This window comes from Homo sapiens, chromosome 10 (assembly GCF_000001405.40).
Source record: "Homo sapiens chromosome 10, GRCh38.p14 Primary Assembly".
Lineage (NCBI taxonomy): Eukaryota > Metazoa > Chordata > Mammalia > Primates > Hominidae > Homo > Homo sapiens.
This window is the reverse complement of record NC_000010.11, coordinates 35,630,944-35,648,819: the sequence shown is the minus strand read 5'-3', so window position 1 is coordinate 35,648,819 and position 17,876 is coordinate 35,630,944. Positions and strand designations below refer to the sequence as shown.

Genomic DNA, 17,876 nt, shown 5'->3' with positions numbered 1-17,876 from the left:
CCTGGACCAATTTTTTGATATAAAGCTTCCTGCACATTCATAAGCAGTTCAGTTGGAATTCAAAAATTTCCCTTGCATTATATTTAAATTAGTCAATACAAAAAAAAAGTTATTCAGAGCATGATGTAGGCTTATTTTAAAAATAATAAAAACTTTTGAAAAATGAAAACAAACAGGCCAGGCCTGGTGGCTCACTCCTGTAATCCCAGCACTTTGGGAGGCCGAGGCAGGCAGATCACTTGAGGTTAGGAGTTGAAGACCAGCCTGGCCAACATAGTGAAACCCTGGCTCTACTAAAAATACAAAAATAAGCCGATCATGGTGGTGAGCACCTGTAATCCCAGCTACTGAGGAGGCTGAGGCAAGAAAATCGCTTGAACCTGGGAGCTGGAGGTTGCAGTGAGCCAAGATCACACCATTACACTCCAGCCTAGGCAACAGAGTGAGACTCCATCCAGGCAAAAAAAAAAAAAAATGAAAACAAACGAACAAAAAAGTTATATGGACAAACTAACAAAATGTTTCATGGATAGGCTTAAAAGAAACACAGAAACTAAAACTCCAGAATTGCATCAATGTTTTTTGTTTGTTTTTGAGATGAGGAGTCTCACTCTCTCACTCTTCTGGCCCAGGGTGGAGTGCAGTGGCATGATCTCGGCTCACTGCAACCTCTGCCTCCCAGGTTGAAGTGATTCTCCTGCCTCAGCCTCCCGACTAGCTGTGATTACAGGCACCCACCACCACGTGCAGCTCATTTTTGTATTTTCGGTAGACATGGGGTTTCACCATGTTGGCCAGGCTGGTCTCGAACTCCTGACCTCAGGTGATCCACCCACCTTGGCTTCCCAAAGTGCTGGGATGGCAGGCGTCAGCCACCGTGCCCAGCCTGTGTCAATGTTTTTAGTTAAGTCTCCAAATGGGAGGGGGAGTTCTGAAGAAAAAGGAAATAGGGAGTGAGTTCCACTACAGTGAATGCACACTGCAAATAAAATGCGCTGTAAACTGCTTGACGTTTATTTCATACTAAATGTACAAAGAACTGTATTGTGTGAACTTCAAAAAAAAAATGTAGATCTCAAGGTTTTCTTGGATCTAGATCATGCTTAATTTATAACCCTGCATAAATTCCGCTGTAAGACCAGGGAAGTTGACTCAATGGTATTGCTTGGAAGTTCACTGCTTTCACACAGTAATGTGCATCTGACACTGTGGGTTGTCCCTCCTCCCCTTCCTGGCTACCAGTGTCCCCATCAACAGCCACTCTCCAGATCCTCACTTTCACAGCCTCTCTTGCAGCTAAGAGTGGCCAAGTGACAGATTCAGACCAGGTTGCCCAAAGGGGAAGTTAGCCAAGGGCCTTCAGGGAAAGGCTGTCATTCCTAAGGGAAGAAAAATATCATAGCAGTCCTCCAGCCCTGGCCACAGTCCAATGTGACAATTCAGTGGTGGGAGGCCCCCTGTAACCAAAGGGGAAACCAACAGTCTAGAAGCCAACCTGCAGCCCTAACCTCCTGGAGCTGCAGAAAGAACTGACGGTGAAATGTCTGCTTCTAGACTTATTGATATGTTGAGATGTCCTTCTTGGCTAAGCCACTTTTACCCGGGAGGTCTTTACTGGACCTGAAATCTACCAAACTAATGCACAATGCATGCCATAATAAGAGCTTCAATATCTGGCAAATATTCCCATGTGGATGAGAAAAAAAATCAATTATTGATTTTTAAAACAAATTTTAGAATAATTATCAACTTAAATAATGGCAGTGCGGTCGCCGTATTCCAAAGCAGCAGCTGCATGTAAAGTGAGCATGGGCCTGCCAGCCAGTGGCACAGGTGGGCCTGTTATCTCCATCCATGTGCACCTTGGCCTGGTGACAGCAGACACAGCAAAGAGTACTTCCTTCCAACAGGATCTCTTTCCTGGCAGTGGAGAGAACAGAAGCAGCAGCACTTCAATTGAGTTTCATGTTAATAAGGAAGAATATAAAAATAATCTCACCTGTTTAAAGCTAGCAGAGATTGATGAGGCCAGTTCACCTCTACCTCCCCTTCCATTTATGGACTGAGAGACTCAAGACATAACCCTTTGAAAGGCAGATTTTTAAAACACCAAGATGCCCCAATATTACCATTAGAGGTTTTGTTATTGTTGTTGTGGGTTTTGTCTTTTTTTTTTTTTTTTTTTTTTTTTTGAGACAGGGTCTCTTTCTATTACCTAACCTGGAGTACAGGCATGATCACGGCTCACTACAGCCTCAAACTCATGGACTCAAGCGATCCTCCCACCTCAGCGCCTCAAGTAGCTGGGACCACAGGTGCGTGCTACAGGCCCGACTAATTTTTTTTTTTGTTTTAGACAGACTCTTACTGTGTTGCCCAGGTTGGAGTGCAGTGGCAAAATCTCAGCTCACTGCAACCTCTGCCTCCCAGGTTCAAGCAATTCTCTTGCCTGAGTCTCCCAAGTAGCTGGGATTACAGGCACCCACCACCATGTCCAGCTAATTTTTGTATTTTTGGCAGAGACAAGGATTCCCCATGTTAGCCAGGCTGGTCTCGAACTCCTGACCTCTAGTGATCCTCTGACCTCGGCTTCCCAAAGTGCTAGGATTACAGGCGTGAACAACCACCGTGCCTGGCCTTGTTTTTTTGTTGTTTTTTTTGTTGTTGTTGTTGTTTTGTTTTTGGTTTTTTTTTTTTTGGTAGACTCGGGTCTTACTATGTTGCTCAGACTGCTCTCCAACTCCTGGCCTCAAGCGATCCTTCCACCTTGGCCTCCCAAAGCACTAAGACAAACGTAAGCCACTGAGCCCAGCCAGTGATAAGAATTTTATATTATCTAATAATATAGTACTTAACTGTTTTCTTGAGAGAAAATAATATTTGGCATTTATTTATTTAGAGACAGGGTCTTACTCTGTTGCCCAGGCTGGAGTGCAGTGATACAGTCATGGCTCACTGCAGCCCCAGCCTCCAAAACTCAAGTGATCCTCCCACCTCAGCCTCTGGTGTAGCTGGGACTACAGGCACATGCCACCGCACCCAGCTCATGTTTGTATTTTTTGTAGAGACAGGGTTTTGCTATGTTGCCCAGGCTGGTCTCGAACTCCTAGACTCAAGCGATCTGCCTGCCTCAGCGTCCCAAAGTGCTGGGATTACAGGCATGAGTCACCGTATCTGGCCAATATTTGGCAGTTTATAACACCTGAGAAATTGTATTAGTTACCAAAGAGTTCCTCATTTAATCTTTGGAACGTATCATTCTGTTAGTATATGCCAGGCTCTCTCTTCCATCCAGATTCTTATATTGGATTTTTAGATGGTAATCCACTGGAACATGATTTCCCCAAAGTTTCTTAAATTTGTTACAGACAGTATTGATAGTCCCCTGTCTAACTCGGTAGCCAACGTTTTGTAAAACCTTCCCTCCTCTGAGGTAGATTCCTGATTCCAACTGTTTACATTATTTGCTTGCAGGCCATTCAGCAACAAGCCATCTGCTCAGAAATCCCTTTAGAAACTTCCCTACATTATTTATGTCACTACTAAAGCTATTTCCCCTCCCCTAAAAAACAGCTGCTTTACATACAATGAAAATATCATTATTTAGCCATAGAAGTTGATATATGTTCTGGTTACTTCTAGGTAACCCATCATTACCTTTTACGCACTAATTGGCTACAGAAGTCTCTCCCTTCTCTGAAAGACTACCAAGTAGCCGTTTAATTTAACAGTAGATGTAAAATGCGATTCTTATATTCTCTCAATTAAAAGTACATTTGTCATGACTTTTATGTAACTGGTTTTAACCTCACAAATCACTAAGATCTCCCAAATAGCTGATATGATTTTTGAAATTCTGAACTTCAGTCTGCTTATTTTCTCATGCAAACTTAACATACTTACCCAAAATTTCCACATTCCACATCATCAAACTTTTCATCTTGTCTCAAAAGAAAAAAGAAAAAAAATTTAAAGCCAATTAAGAGCCAAAATCAACCATTTTCAGCTTCAATTTCAATTTTCAAATGTCAGTTTGTTTTTACCCAATTCTAGCAAATTTATGTAGTGTAATTCTAAACTTCACTATTTGACATTTCCCCGTGGAAGAAAAGCAACAGAAACTTTTCACCATCTGTGTTGCTCTTGGAAACCAGCCCCTCCCATCTGTGGTGCGGGCAGTGCAGCACCCTTGCTGGTCTTTGGGGCTCTGCCTGCACCGCTGCCCTCAGATCAGCACTGGAACCTCTGGCAATTACCTGCAGCTGATGCGTTCTGGAGACTCGCCCTCTGGAAACAAGGTGCCAACCGCAGAGATAGTGAATTTCTACATTCAACATACAAGTGGGAATTCCGATTTGCAGGAGGTGAGAAAAGAAAAAAAATTTTTTAATCAAGTAAAGGTCTAGTCTGTATTTTTGAATAGCCCGTTTTCTGCTGAATCAGCTAATATTTCTGAAGCCTTTGAATTCCGAATTCCTACGGACTTTAGTTTTTCCAAAACAAAAGTGGGAAGGAAGTGTTGTTTTTCAGTATAAAGAGGTTCAACTCTATAGACTAAAACTAAAAAAGTTAAAAAGATAGGGGGGTATAACTATAGATTGGTGGATATGCCTAGAACACAGAACTTGCCAAAAACGGGGCGCTGGGGCAGGGTGCGGTCTGACAGTCTACTTGTAATATGTTTCATAATGAGGTTGCTAACTGAGCTACAGAAAGCAGGAGGAGGAAGACATAGATGCCATCAGCTCAAGCAATCTACAAATACTGCTGGTTATTTTTGTTTTATGACAAGAGTTGTTTCTGAACGGACAACCACGAGCTACCACCACCACCAGCAGCGCCCCGAAAACCGGAACTGGCCTCAAATGTACTTTTAATTCTTTTGCTCTGTCCCCACGCCCTCTGCAACTTTTGTTCTCCAACTGTACTTGTTCCGGTATGAAACCTGGCAAATAGCAAAAATCTTGAAACAAGAAGAGAGTGAGAGAGCGGAGAGAAAAGGGAGGGAAGGAAGGAGAGGGAGGAGGGGAAGAGGAGGAGGGGGGAGAGAAAGTGGTGGGGGAGAGAGAGAAGGAAAGGAGGTGGGGAGAGAGAGAGAGGGAAGACAGAAGAGAGGCAGGGAGGAAGAGGGAGAGAGGGGGACGGAGATGGGGAGGAGGCGGGAGGGAGGGAGAGAAAGAGAGAGAGAAACATATTCTGCCACCCTCCTGGCTAACTGAAATGCTTGTTCCCGAGATTACAGTAATTACTGCCCCAGCATGAGTTCCATACAAGCGCTAAATGAAACAGCACATCAATTAAAAAATAAACACTCCATTCTAGGAGAAAGACAGCCCCCTGGGACGCCCTAACAAGCGTAAATGAACCTGCCAGGCCGCCGGCCCGGGCCGCCCGCAGCCCCCCTCCCGGCCCGTCTTAAGGTGGCGGCGGAGCCGGCGGGGGCAGCGTTCGCTGGCGGTGGCCCAAGCGGCTGCTAAAAGCAGCCCGGGTCCGGCTCCGGCCTCGTGCAGAGAGCAGATACGTGTCGCGGAGTCCACGCCAGAGCGCAGCGCCGCCTCCCACCAGAGAAAAGGAGGCTCTGGCAAAAGCCTGTGAACTTGGGATGGATGAATAGACGTCCTGAAAGAACGAAGGGAAGACAGGGAATCCAGCCCCAGAGTTTCCAGCCTGTCCTATTTATAAGTTTCGAGGTTTGTTTTGAATTTTAGAAAGAAATTGAATGATTTTTCCTAAGAAAGCACGGCGGCTCGGGGCTTCCTATATTTTATCTCACCTAATTATCAAAGCCCCCTTGGAGATCTGTGCTATGATCACCCAACTCTCTAGGTGGGGAAACTGAGGCTCCCCCAGGTCACGCAGCGGAGGCGGGAGGAGAGTCTCTGGCGGGCATTTGTCCCCCGCGCCCCTCGCGCGCCCAAGGCTGGGCTCCGGGGCATCTCACCCGGGCCGTCCCGGGTCCAGCCCCAGTTTAGAATGACTCCACACCCCCCACATCTCCAAGTCTCAGAAACCATCGTTCTGAGAACCCCAAGGAGGACACCCTTTCCCGGGTCTTCTGCAGCGCCGAGCCCCGGCAGGCCTCCCCGGCGCTCGCCTGCTGCGAGACCTTCCTGCCGCCCCGAGGAGCACGAGACCCCAGCCGCCTGCAGATCACCCACATTTGCGGAGGGTGGCAGCAGGGGCTTGGCTGGTTTGAAACGCGCCGGGGAGGCGCGCGCTGCACCAAACCCCGTCCCTGTCCCCAAGGGCAGACTCGGGGTAAGGGGACCAAGACCTCCGACGCACTCAGCGCCATGGGGACAGCCATGGCCAACACTCTGTCTCTGCGGTCAATCCCAAGGTTACCAAAACTCTCCATCCGCAGAGAGCGCGCACAGCAGTGCGGACACTCGGGGACTGCCTTAAGGAAGGCTGAGCCCTGGGAGCGCGTGGACTCCGCCCTACCGCCCGGCGATTGGCTCGCGGGGCTGGGGGCGGAGACCGAGTCCGCGCTGTATAAATATTCATGAGCCGGCAGCGCGGCGCGAGCGGGGCTGGAGCCGGGAAGTTGGGCTAAGGGCGCTGCTCCCGCCGAGGAGGAGGCGGCGGCTGGGCGCGGGCCGCGCCACTCAGGTGTCCGCTCCGCCTTCCGGTCTGGATTTGCTCCTGGGTGTCCAGCAGGAAGGAGACTGTGTGCACCTCGCCCGACTGCGGCCGGAGCGCGGCGCTGACTTTTCCAGGCGGCGGGGGTCCGTCTGTCCCGGCGGCGGACGGACGAAGGACGGACGCCGGAGAAAGAGGGCGGCGGCCTGGGCCGAGGCGGGTCCCCAACTCCGGCGGCGGCGGCGGCGGCTTGGCCTTGGGGGCGGGCATGAGCCCCCGGGGGCCGAGTGGTGGCCGCCAGGGCTGACCCGGCGCGGCAAGCGGCCCGGCCCAGCCATCTTGACTGCGCACCGCGGCCCCAGAGGAAACTTGCGGCGCCTCCGCCCTCTCTGTCCGGCGGAGTCACCGCCGCCCGGCGCGGCGGGGAGAAGTGGTCGGGCGCGCGGAGAGGAGGCGAGCGAGCGCGGGACGATGAGCCGAGGCCCGGCCGCTCTGCGCCGCGAGGGCTGAGCGCGACCCGGGGCCAGCAGAGCGGACCTACGGACTGTGGCGCGCGCCTGCAGCCGCCTTCAAACCCCCGGAGCGGCGGAAAGGAGTGCGGAAGGGCCCTGCCCAGGCTGCGGGCCGCGCCGCTGCGGACGCGCCCCTAGAAGGGGTTAGATTATCGGCAGACCCCCCTCCCGGGCGAAGCATAAGGGAGACCCCAGATCACCCGCTGTACCCGTCTGCGGCTCTCTCGTGGGCCCCCCCCCCGGCACCCCTCTGCGCGCCGCCTGGAGGGCGAGGGCACCGGGCCGAGGCGCACAGCATGGAGTGGGGTTACCTGTTGGAAGTGACCTCGCTGCTGGCCGCCTTGGCGCTGCTGCAGCGCTCTAGCGGCGCTGCGGCCGCCTCGGCCAAGGAGCTGGCATGCCAAGAGATCACCGTGCCGCTGTGTAAGGGCATCGGCTACAACTACACCTACATGCCCAATCAGTTCAACCACGACACGCAAGACGAGGCGGGCCTGGAGGTGCACCAGTTCTGGCCGCTGGTGGAGATCCAGTGCTCGCCCGATCTCAAGTTCTTCCTGTGCAGCATGTACACGCCCATCTGCCTAGAGGACTACAAGAAGCCGCTGCCGCCCTGCCGCTCGGTGTGCGAGCGCGCCAAGGCCGGCTGCGCGCCGCTCATGCGCCAGTACGGCTTCGCCTGGCCCGACCGCATGCGCTGCGACCGGCTGCCCGAGCAAGGCAACCCTGACACGCTGTGCATGGACTACAACCGCACCGACCTAACCACCGCCGCGCCCAGCCCGCCGCGCCGCCTGCCGCCGCCGCCGCCCGGCGAGCAGCCGCCTTCGGGCAGCGGCCACGGCCGCCCGCCGGGGGCCAGGCCCCCGCACCGCGGCGGCGGCAGGGGCGGTGGCGGCGGGGACGCGGCGGCGCCCCCAGCTCGCGGCGGCGGCGGTGGCGGGAAGGCGCGGCCCCCTGGCGGCGGCGCGGCTCCCTGCGAGCCCGGGTGCCAGTGCCGCGCGCCTATGGTGAGCGTGTCCAGCGAGCGCCACCCGCTCTACAACCGCGTCAAGACAGGCCAGATCGCTAACTGCGCGCTGCCCTGCCACAACCCCTTTTTCAGCCAGGACGAGCGCGCCTTCACCGTCTTCTGGATCGGCCTGTGGTCGGTGCTCTGCTTCGTGTCCACCTTCGCCACCGTCTCCACCTTCCTTATCGACATGGAGCGCTTCAAGTACCCGGAGCGGCCCATTATCTTCCTCTCGGCCTGCTACCTCTTCGTGTCGGTGGGCTACCTAGTGCGCCTGGTGGCGGGCCACGAGAAGGTGGCGTGCAGCGGTGGCGCGCCGGGCGCGGGGGGCGCTGGGGGCGCGGGCGGCGCGGCGGCGGGCGCGGGCGCGGCGGGCGCGGGCGCGGGCGGCCCGGGCGGGCGCGGCGAGTACGAGGAGCTGGGCGCGGTGGAGCAGCACGTGCGCTACGAGACCACCGGCCCCGCGCTGTGCACCGTGGTCTTCTTGCTGGTCTACTTCTTCGGCATGGCCAGCTCCATCTGGTGGGTGATCTTGTCGCTCACATGGTTCCTGGCGGCCGGTATGAAGTGGGGCAACGAAGCCATCGCCGGCTACTCGCAGTACTTCCACCTGGCCGCGTGGCTTGTGCCCAGCGTCAAGTCCATCGCGGTGCTGGCGCTCAGCTCGGTGGACGGCGACCCGGTGGCGGGCATCTGCTACGTGGGCAACCAGAGCCTGGACAACCTGCGCGGCTTCGTGCTGGCGCCGCTGGTCATCTACCTCTTCATCGGCACCATGTTCCTGCTGGCCGGCTTCGTGTCCCTCTTCCGCATCCGCTCGGTCATCAAGCAACAGGACGGCCCCACCAAGACGCACAAGCTGGAGAAGCTGATGATCCGCCTGGGCCTGTTCACCGTGCTCTACACCGTGCCCGCCGCGGTGGTGGTCGCCTGCCTCTTCTACGAGCAGCACAACCGCCCGCGCTGGGAGGCCACGCACAACTGCCCGTGCCTGCGGGACCTGCAGCCCGACCAGGCACGCAGGCCCGACTACGCCGTCTTCATGCTCAAGTACTTCATGTGCCTAGTGGTGGGCATCACCTCGGGCGTGTGGGTCTGGTCCGGCAAGACGCTGGAGTCCTGGCGCTCCCTGTGCACCCGCTGCTGCTGGGCCAGCAAGGGCGCCGCGGTGGGCGGGGGCGCGGGCGCCACGGCCGCGGGGGGTGGCGGCGGGCCGGGGGGCGGCGGCGGCGGGGGACCCGGCGGCGGCGGGGGGCCGGGCGGCGGCGGGGGCTCCCTCTACAGCGACGTCAGCACTGGCCTGACGTGGCGGTCGGGCACGGCGAGCTCCGTGTCTTATCCAAAGCAGATGCCATTGTCCCAGGTCTGAGCGGAGGGGAGGGGGCGCCCAGGAGGGGTGGGGAGGGGGGCGAGGAGAGCCAAGTGCAGCGAAGGGACACTTGATGGGCTGAGGTTCCCACCCCTTCACAGTGTTGATTGCTATTAGCATGATAATGAACTCTTAATGGTATCCATTAGCTGGGACTTAAATGACTCACTTAGAACAAAGTACCTGGCATTGAAGCCTCCCAGACCCAGCCCCTTTTCCTCCATTGATGTGCGGGGAGCTCCTCCCGCCACGCGTTAATTTCTGTTGGCTGAGGAGGGTGGACTCTGCGGCGTTTCCAGAACCCGAGATTTGGAGCCCTCCCTGGCTGCACTTGGCTGGGTTTGCAGTCAGATACACAGATTTCACCTGGGAGAACCTCTTTTTCTCCCTCGACTCTTCCTACGTAAACTCCCACCCCTGACTTACCCTGGAGGAGGGGTGACCGCCACCTGATGGGATTGCACGGTTTGGGTATTCTTAATGACCAGGCAAATGCCTTAAGTAAACAAACAAGAAATGTCTTAATTATACACCCCACGTAAATACGGGTTTCTTACATTAGAGGATGTATTTATATAATTATTTGTTAAATTGTAAAAAAAAAAGTGTAAAATATGTATATATCCAAAGATATAGTGTGTACATTTTTTTGTAAAAAGTTTAGAGGCTTACCCCTGTAAGAACAGATATAAGTATTCTATTTTGTCAATAAAATGACTTTTGATAAATGATTTAACCATTGCCCTCTCCCCCGCCTCTTCTGAGCTGTCACCTTTAAAGTGCTTGCTAAGGACGCATGGGGAAAATGGACATTTTCTGGCTTGTCATTCTGTACACTGACCTTAGGCATGGAGAAAATTACTTGTTAAACTCTAGTTCTTAAGTTGTTAGCCAAGTAAATATCATTGTTGAACTGAAATCAAAATTGAGTTTTTGCACCTTCCCCAAAGACGGTGTTTTTCATGGGAGCTCTTTTCTGATCCATGGATAACAACTCTCACTTTAGTGGATGTAAATGGAACTTCTGCAAGGCAGTAATTCCCCTTAGGCCTTGTTATTTATCCTGCATGGTATCACTAAAGGTTTCAAAACCCTGCATTCATTTCTGGAGTCCGTGATTTTGAAAGCACCTGGTGTTCCAGGGAGGGAACGCATTGCTGAGGTGTAGAGGTTAATGTTTTAAACCATAGCTCACCCTTTACAGTAGAAGTCACTTGACAATCTGGTAGGGGAGCAGGCGCTCTTCAATGGATTAAACTAACGGGTTAACATCTTAATAACCTTCAGTGCTTGTGTATACCAAATGTGCTGCTTTTCCTAGAGAAAAAGCTATTGTTCCTCTGTCAAGACTAAGCTAATTTATTTGAGCAGAAGGCTGTTGAATTAGCAGAAGAATGCTTCGGCAATTGTTGAACTTTTTACCTGTCTGCCCAGTGGCTCAGCACATCATTCCTTTAAGAGGAGCTAAATGAATAGGGTTAATCTGTAGGGAACTTGGTCTTTTGAGTTTGAAAAACTTTGATCTTTTCTCCTCTGCAAATGTGCTGTATAGTCTGAAGTTTCTTTCCCTGCTGCCTATCTCCTCTTAGTGCAGACCAATTGGCCACCGCGGAGCCTTAAAGTTCTTCCATTAAAGGGATGTGGGACTTTTACTTTAAAAAGGAGAGAGAGCGCGAGAGAGGAAGACTTGTAACAGTTAGTGAAGACCGGAGGCACAAGTGCTCAGCCTTTTAAACAGCTTTTCCCGGCATTGTTAGCCAGCCTGCAGGCAGCTAGGCATGGGTTGAAGCTTTATAGAAAAGGGCTCTGAATGCCCCACAGGTGGTCTGCGCACATAATCCCCCAATTTAAAGCGTTTTCCTTTGCTGGACAATTGCATTACAAAACTCCCTTCTTTTTCGCTCCTAATTGAACCAATGAACTATTATAAACTACAAGTTTTTCTTTAAAAAAATTGCCGGTGCCTAAATTCTATTGACTAAATTCTAGCAAGTTTTCTAACTGAACCTTTTAAGGCACCGGAAGTAAAAGCTGCTTCAGCAGACGTTTCTGTTTCGCGGATATTTTTATTCCTTATGCTTGTTATTTTCTGACAGATTAGCAATAATTTAAAAGTAATTGGTAAGATTGTGTGTTAATACTGAAAAGATAGCCCCAGGTCCCTTATTAACCTGTCAATCAAGATAAGAAATGGGCAGCTACCCTGCTAATGATGGGGCATCAATCATTGTGGGATGGGAGGGGCTTTGTTCTGCACATCCTGCTAAAATGTTTGTTCTCCTTACTTTACCTAATAGGAATCTTTAGTGGCTAAAAAAAATTTTAATAGAGTGGACGCTACTTTCTTGGCCGATCTTTCTCATGTAAGAGGCTTCGCATAGGATCTCCATAGTAGTAACATTTTGCAGATCCTTTTCAGAGTAAGTCTCGGTGTTAATTAAGTTATGCAATTAGAACCCCTGCTTTAGCTATCATGCCAATCTTATTTTTTAAAGCCAGAGACACTGTAAAAGTGTTCACCTCTCCAGTAGTTTTACTCATTAAAGAATTATTTTGTAACTTAGGTACCTATCAGTGGCCTACATCTAACCCACGTGTTGACTCATGTATAGTATACATATGCCAGCCATAAACTTTTTATATTCAGTTATAAAGTAGAATTTTGAGAGCAGATCCCAGAGTCTTTACCACATATGAAGGATGGAGAGAAAGCTACAAGACACAAGTTAGCATGTTGGCTTTCTCATGTAGCAGTATTGTCATTATTGACGCATTTTCAACTATATAGCACAGTGGGAAAATGTCCAGCTTTGAAGCTTTTTACCTTATTCTTCAATATATCATTATAAAATGCTATATTCGATAACTCAAGATGTATGTGTGTTTAAGCGAACTTATTTGACAAAAAACCCAATTTAAATTCTGAGGACAGTTCTCAATAAAAAGACCTGCATCTGTCATCACTAGAGACTGATTTTAGAGATGGTATTAAGACATAAGTGCTGGTTCTTTGCCTTTAAAGCTAAAACTTGAGTTGCATATTTGCCAGTACTCAGATGGTATCTACTAAGGGAACAAAACCCCAAAATTGATTTTAGGGTGGAAGAAAGAAACGAGTCTCTATCTGGCCAATTGCATTAGACAAATGAACACCTCTGTGTGCTATACAGGTGTGTCTTTAATTACATAAAACAAGTGTTAGTTTTTCAAAATCTTGTCAAATTGGGAGAGGGGTTGATGTGGTTGCTGTGTGGCTAGAAGATCAAGTCTAACATGATTAAAACCATTACTAAAGCCAAAGCTCATTAAAATTGCTTGTGGGAGAAGTTATGTGAAACACTTTCTATTTGCTTTATAATAAATGCAATTTGAAAGTACCATGAAACAGAAGGGAAAAAAGTTGATAAGAAAGTTTAAGGAGTAAACCATGGCACATTACAGTTTCTTAACCTGCACTGACCGCATTGCTGGTGCCTGTAATACTTCAGAGTTTGGGCAAAGAGAGTGAGATTGTCTTGCCAAAAGAAAACCAGGAGCAGTTGCAGAGCACGGGATGCAATTTAAAGTGTAGGTGCAAACGTTCTGTTGAGACATAAAAAGCAAATCAGTGCAAGTGTCTATCCGCTTTCCACATTTGATACTATACTGCCATCTGGTGGTAGTACGGGGTCCCAGAACCAGGAAGTTAGGGAGGTTCCTTCATTCAATTCATTCATTCAAAAATAGCACATGGAGAGCTAGCCTAGGCACAGGCACAGCCTCCGCCCAGAGGACCTGCAAACATTTTGTATTCATAATTCTGAATCCTTTCTCTGAAGCGCTCCAAAATTGCATCAGTGCACACTGAAGTTTAAGGACCCGCAAGACATTCCCGCACAGTGATAATACTTTTATTAACTTCAATTGCATTAAGTCCTCCATATGACCATTATGCTAAAAATGTAATTAAGCTGCGTTAAATTCCAAGAGCTGCGTTAAATTCCAAGAGCATATCTTCTTTAAATTAGCTTCTGAGTTACTTTTATTTAAAGAATGGGATGCTCACCAAAGATCCACCATATCAAAGCTTTCATGGAAGAAAGGATGAATAATAAAGAGTATTTTGAGGTGGGATGTGGTTGGCTTGCTTAATTAAATGTGCCGCTTTACAATTTCTCATGTAGAGGTCAACTCTGAGTCCAGGGGATGTCCGTCAGTACTGCACGTGAGTGCTGTTAGGGTGAGCAAGACGCAGGCCATCTCGTTTTACCTAGCCAGGTGTTCATGGAAACACACCAAGGAGTAGAAACTTCGCTGGAAAACAAGGTCGGTGAGCATCTGCGTTGGAATGCTGGAGCCCTCGGGAAGGAAGATGACACAGCACTGAGATGTAGGAAGAACAGGATCTTAAAGAAGGATGAGCAGGACCAGGACCGGTGGCTCACGCCTGTAGTCCCACCACTTTGGGAGGACGAGGCAGGCGGATCACCTGAGGTCAGGAGTTTGAGACCAGCATGGCCAACATGGTGAAACTCTGTCTCTACTAAAAATACAAAAATTAGCTGGATGTGGTGGCTGGCACCTGTAATCCCAGCTACTCAGGAGGCTGAGGCAGGTGAATCGCTTGATCCAGGAGGCGGAGGCTACAGTGAGCTGAGATCACACCACTGCACTCCAGCCTGGATGACAGAGCAAGACTTTGCCAAAAAAAAAAAGGGATGAGCAGAGAAATGAGGTTTCTGAGGACTGGAATGTCTAGTGGGGATAGGAGGGAAGGAGGAGACTGTGACCAAGGACCACATAAGATCTTGGAGGACTTACAGAGTTCAGAGGCCTCAGGGGCAAGAATCTTGCTGCCCATGAACAAGGAGCAGGGGCAAGAACCTGTGGCATTAGGGAAATGTGGAATCTCAGATCTCTCTTACTGAATCAGAAACTGCATTTTAACAAGATCCCCAAGCTTCACAGGCACACCGAAGGGTAGGAAGTTCTAGCACACCATCCCACATTTCACTGGTTAGAAAACAAGCCCAAAACAACTGTGCTTACTGAACATCACACAGTCAGGAGCACAGCTGGGCCTAGAAGCCACTAAGCCTACTTGTCACTCCTGTCTCTGTAGATCTTTTCCAGCAGTCCCACTCTTCTGTGTAGACCTCTGAGGCCACCACAAGGTGCATTCAGGCTGGGTGTGGTGGCTCACATCTGTAATCCCAACACTTTGGGAGGCCGAGATAGGAGGATCACTAGAGGCCAGGAGTTCTAGACCAGCTTGGGTAATATAATGAGACTCCATCGCTATAAAAAAATAAAAAGCCAGGTGTGGTAATGCATGCCTGTAGTCCCTTGGGAGACTGAGACAGAAGGATCGCTTGAGTCCAAGAGTTCAAGCCTGCAGTAAGCTATGAATCTGCTACTGCACTCCAGCATGAGCAATAGAGAAAGAGTCTATCTCAAAAAAAAAAAAAAAAATGCATTCATAGCTGATACAGCAACTTACCAGGGCTGTGTTTACCTGGTTACAGAATCATAGCAGAGTTCTCTCACAGTTTGGTGGTGGCCTACACAGGAAATGTGAACGCCCATCCTTCAGAGACAAGAGGAGCACTGTGGAAAGGCTTGCCTCTTGGGATCCTGGCCAACTTAGGCCAGCTCACCTGCCTTTTGCCTTCTACAGCCACCGTGTTCCAATAAATTCCACATTTAAGAGTCTGTGTTCTAGCTTAGTGAGAAGGCACAGTGACTGGGAGTAATATGGTTTGGTTCTGTGTCCCCACCCTAATCTCGTTTTGAATTGTAATCCCCACATGTCAAGGGAGGAACCTAGTGGGGGGTGACTGGATTATGGGGACGGATTCCCCCCCTTGATGTTCCGATAGTGAGTGAGTTTTCAAGTGGTCTTGTTTGGTAAGTGTCTGGCACTTCCCTCTTTCTCTCTTTCGCTCTCCTGTGACTGTGTAAGATGTGTCTGCTTCCCCTTCACCTTCCACCATGATTGTAAGTTTCCTGAGGCTTCCCCAGCCACGCGGAGCTGTGAGCCAATTACTCCTCTTTCCTTTGTCAATGACCCTGTCTCAGGGAGTATCTTTATAGCAGTGTGAGAGAGGACTAATCCTCTATTAGTCAGATGGGCTTCTGTTACTGATTGAGTTCACATGGGGAGAGGGGCCAAATGTGGAACGTGTTGGCCCTGGCTGGCAGAGGCCTGAGGGCCTTTCAGGGAGAGCCTGGCCTCGGCCAGGCAGAAGGAGAAACAGCAGAACCACTGTGCCGTGAAGGCCAGTGCAGGGATCAGGGAGAGAAAAGGGCTTAGGGAACCCAAGAGAGCGTCCCAGAAATCTCTGCAATGACAGAGCAACCTGAGGAAGAGCTTGACTGGCCCAGCAGACTCATGCTGCAGGCTGTGCCCGGGAGGGGGCCAAGAGCATGGGTGGCAGCTGAAAAGGTCAGCCAGTAGCCAGAGAAAGGTGGAAGGAAGGAATTGCCCCAGGACAAAAGGCAAAGTTAGGATCAATGTTAGTGAAACAACCCAAGTTGGATAGCTTTCCGAATCTGGGGCACAGCCATTCTTCACAGGGGACAAACGCATGCTTTTATAGCACCATGTTTATCATGCAGGTGAATCATACACTGATTTAAATTAGAAAACCAATTTCTAATATTTTCACCCCTAACAAGCCCATTTTTAATTAACTAGCACTCCAGCAGTAGTTCTTACCATGCTTACATGTTAAAAGCACTTGGGGTATGTTTTTGTTTTTTTTTTATCATTACCAATGCCCATGTTGCACCCCAAACCAACAGAATCAGAATTTTGGGGGGTGCCAGCTGAGAATTCAAAGTTTTCTAAAACTTCCCCAGGCAATTCCCATGTGCCGCCAGAGTTGAAAACCAGTGAATGTAACTGAATGTGGTATTATCATCCAAAGTGAAATATATGCAGATACAGATCTGGATATGTAGATGTATTTATAGATATATAAATCTGTAGATCTGTAGACATATAGATCTATATAGATATATAGAAATAGAAATTAGCTAAGCAAACTAGCTATTGTCATCTAACTTGACTAAACAAAAGCAGTTATTTTTTTCTTTTTGTCACCCTGAGAGGTATTTGGGAGATGACAGGAGTGCCCTCACCTGGCCCCAAGAAAGAACTTCTCAGTACACAGTTTTTGATAACTGTTTTTTCACCTATAAGGAAATAACAAAGAATTGTGCACATAGGGTATAATTCTATTAAACTAGAAATTAAACCCAACCTGTGAAGTTAGGAGGAATCAATAAGGTGGATGTGTTAGTTAGTAAAGATATTCAAATATTATCTTCCTACCAAAAAGACACCTGCACTCATATGCTTATTGCAGCATTATTCACAATAGCAAAGACATAGAATCAACCTAGGTGCCCATCAACAGTGGATTGGATTTTAAAAATGTGGTACGCTATACATTGTGGAGTACTATGCAGCCACAAAAAGAAGAATGAAATCATGTCCATTGCAGCAACATGGTTGCAGCTAGAGGCCATTATCCTAAGTGAAATAACACAGGAACAGAAAACCAAATACCACATGTTCTCACTTCTAAGGGGGAACTACACATTGGCTACATATGGACATAAAAACAGGAATTATAGACACTGGGGACTCCAAAAGTGGGAGGGAAAAAAGAGGGCAAGATGAAAAACTTTCTATTGGGAATTATGTTCACTATTTGGGTAACAGGTTCAATAGAAGCTTAAACCTCAGTATTGCACAATATATCCATGTAACAAACTGGCACATGTATTCCCTGAATTTAAAAAATAAAATAAAATAAAATATTCTCTTCTTGTTCAGTAGATGTTTATGTATTGAGACCAACTCAGCTGGAAATGAAACCTCAGTCAGTCTGCAGAGACCAAAGACAGGCCTGACTTTCTAAGACTGGGTGCAGGGTCGTATTGTAGCCCAGGAAGCAAGGGTCAAGCCAACAGTGGGTCAGGGGAATCCTGAATGCGTGTCAATACATGTGTCTTCACCTCACCTCTTTAAAAGGAACCTGATAGTACCTTACCTCATGCTAGCACATTGTTAAAGTTGTAGAATTATAAGATAGCATTCATTTGGTGCAGAAATCTGCTCTGTCTCTGGGTATCATACAAGAAGTTAAGAGTCCTTAACCAAAGCCCCAGAAAGTGAAATCCACTTTCCCAAGTAAGTGCGGAGGTTTTCCTGACTCTGGCTGATGTATATGATGTTAGAGCTTCACTGCTACATTCATCATTATTCTGTAAGAAAAAGCCCAAACAGAGGGTCCTAGGTTGTTAAACCCACAACAGGGATGCAAACTTTGCACAATATCATCAAAAAACGCCTCTTGGCCATACTCAGTGTGAGCCAAAAAGAAGCTAATAACTTAATCATTCTGGAAAATAT

At 49.1% G+C, this 17,876-nt stretch overlaps 2 protein-coding genes, 1 long non-coding RNA gene and 1 other non-coding gene across 4 annotated transcripts, besides 6 other annotated features; 3 read left to right on the top strand and 1 right to left on the bottom strand.

Moving 5' to 3' along the window:
• Nucleotides 1-991: 991 nt before the first annotated feature.
• LOC105376494 (uncharacterized) lies at nucleotides 992-5,505 on the bottom strand. The gene is made up of 2 exons (XR_930820.3): nucleotides 3,904-5,505; nucleotides 992-1,920 (listed from the first exon to the last, which is right to left on the bottom strand). It is a non-coding gene; the product is annotated as an uncharacterized LOC105376494 (long non-coding RNA).
• LOC124902528 (zinc finger protein 469-like) lies at nucleotides 5,974-7,092 on the top strand. Its single transcript, XM_047426128.1, has 2 exons — nucleotides 5,974-6,190; nucleotides 6,407-7,092. Exons 1-2 carry the CDS (start codon nucleotides 5,974-5,976, stop codon nucleotides 7,090-7,092), a joined length of 903 nt encoding a protein of 300 aa, XP_047282084.1.
• Nucleotides 6,524-10,573, top strand: FZD8 (frizzled class receptor 8). Its single transcript, NM_031866.3, has one exon. It carries the CDS (start codon nucleotides 7,391-7,393, stop codon nucleotides 9,473-9,475), a length of 2,085 nt encoding a protein of 694 aa, NP_114072.1. The 5' UTR covers nucleotides 6,524-7,390; the 3' UTR covers nucleotides 9,476-10,573.
• MIR4683 (microRNA 4683) lies at nucleotides 7,568-7,648 on the top strand. Its single transcript, NR_039831.1, has one exon. It is a non-coding gene; the product is annotated as a microRNA 4683 (primary transcript).
• Nucleotides 7,976-8,065: a silencer, noted in NCBI's record as "silent region_2308". NCBI's record gives its function as "represses an Ori minimal core promoter by ATAC-STARR-seq in GM12878 lymphoblastoid cells {active_cell/tissue: GM12878}" and the evidence as "EXISTENCE:reporter gene assay evidence [ECO:0000049][PMID:35858748]".
• Nucleotides 8,176-8,335: an enhancer, noted in NCBI's record as "active region_3269". NCBI's record gives its function as "activates an Ori minimal core promoter by ATAC-STARR-seq in GM12878 lymphoblastoid cells {active_cell/tissue: GM12878}" and the evidence as "EXISTENCE:reporter gene assay evidence [ECO:0000049][PMID:35858748]".
• Nucleotides 8,605-8,899: a silencer, noted in NCBI's record as "tiled region #6098; HepG2 Repressive non-DNase unmatched - State 23:Low, and K562 Repressive non-DNase unmatched - State 23:Low". NCBI's record gives its function as "represses a minimal TATA promoter and a strong SV40 promoter by Sharpr-MPRA in HepG2 and K562 cells {active_cell/tissue: HepG2 | K562}" and the evidence as "EXISTENCE:reporter gene assay evidence [ECO:0000049][PMID:27701403]".
• Nucleotides 9,155-10,016: an enhancer, noted in NCBI's record as "OCT4-NANOG-H3K27ac-H3K4me1 hESC enhancer chr10:35927732-35928593 (GRCh37/hg19 assembly coordinates)". NCBI's record gives its function as "activates a minimal SCP1, AML or CMV promoter by ChIP-STARR-seq in naive and primed H9 embryonic stem cells {active_cell/tissue: H9 hESC(naive and primed)}" and the evidence as "EXISTENCE:reporter gene assay evidence [ECO:0000049][PMID:30033119]".
• Nucleotides 10,506-12,366: an enhancer, noted in NCBI's record as "VISTA enhancer hs1588". NCBI's record gives its function as "enhancer in: forebrain[5/6]" and the evidence as "EXISTENCE:transgenic organism evidence [ECO:0001131][PMID:17130149]".
• Nucleotides 10,703-11,325: an enhancer, noted in NCBI's record as "OCT4-NANOG hESC enhancer chr10:35926423-35927045 (GRCh37/hg19 assembly coordinates)". NCBI's record gives its function as "activates a minimal SCP1, AML or CMV promoter by ChIP-STARR-seq in primed H9 embryonic stem cells {active_cell/tissue: H9 hESC(primed)}" and the evidence as "EXISTENCE:reporter gene assay evidence [ECO:0000049][PMID:30033119]".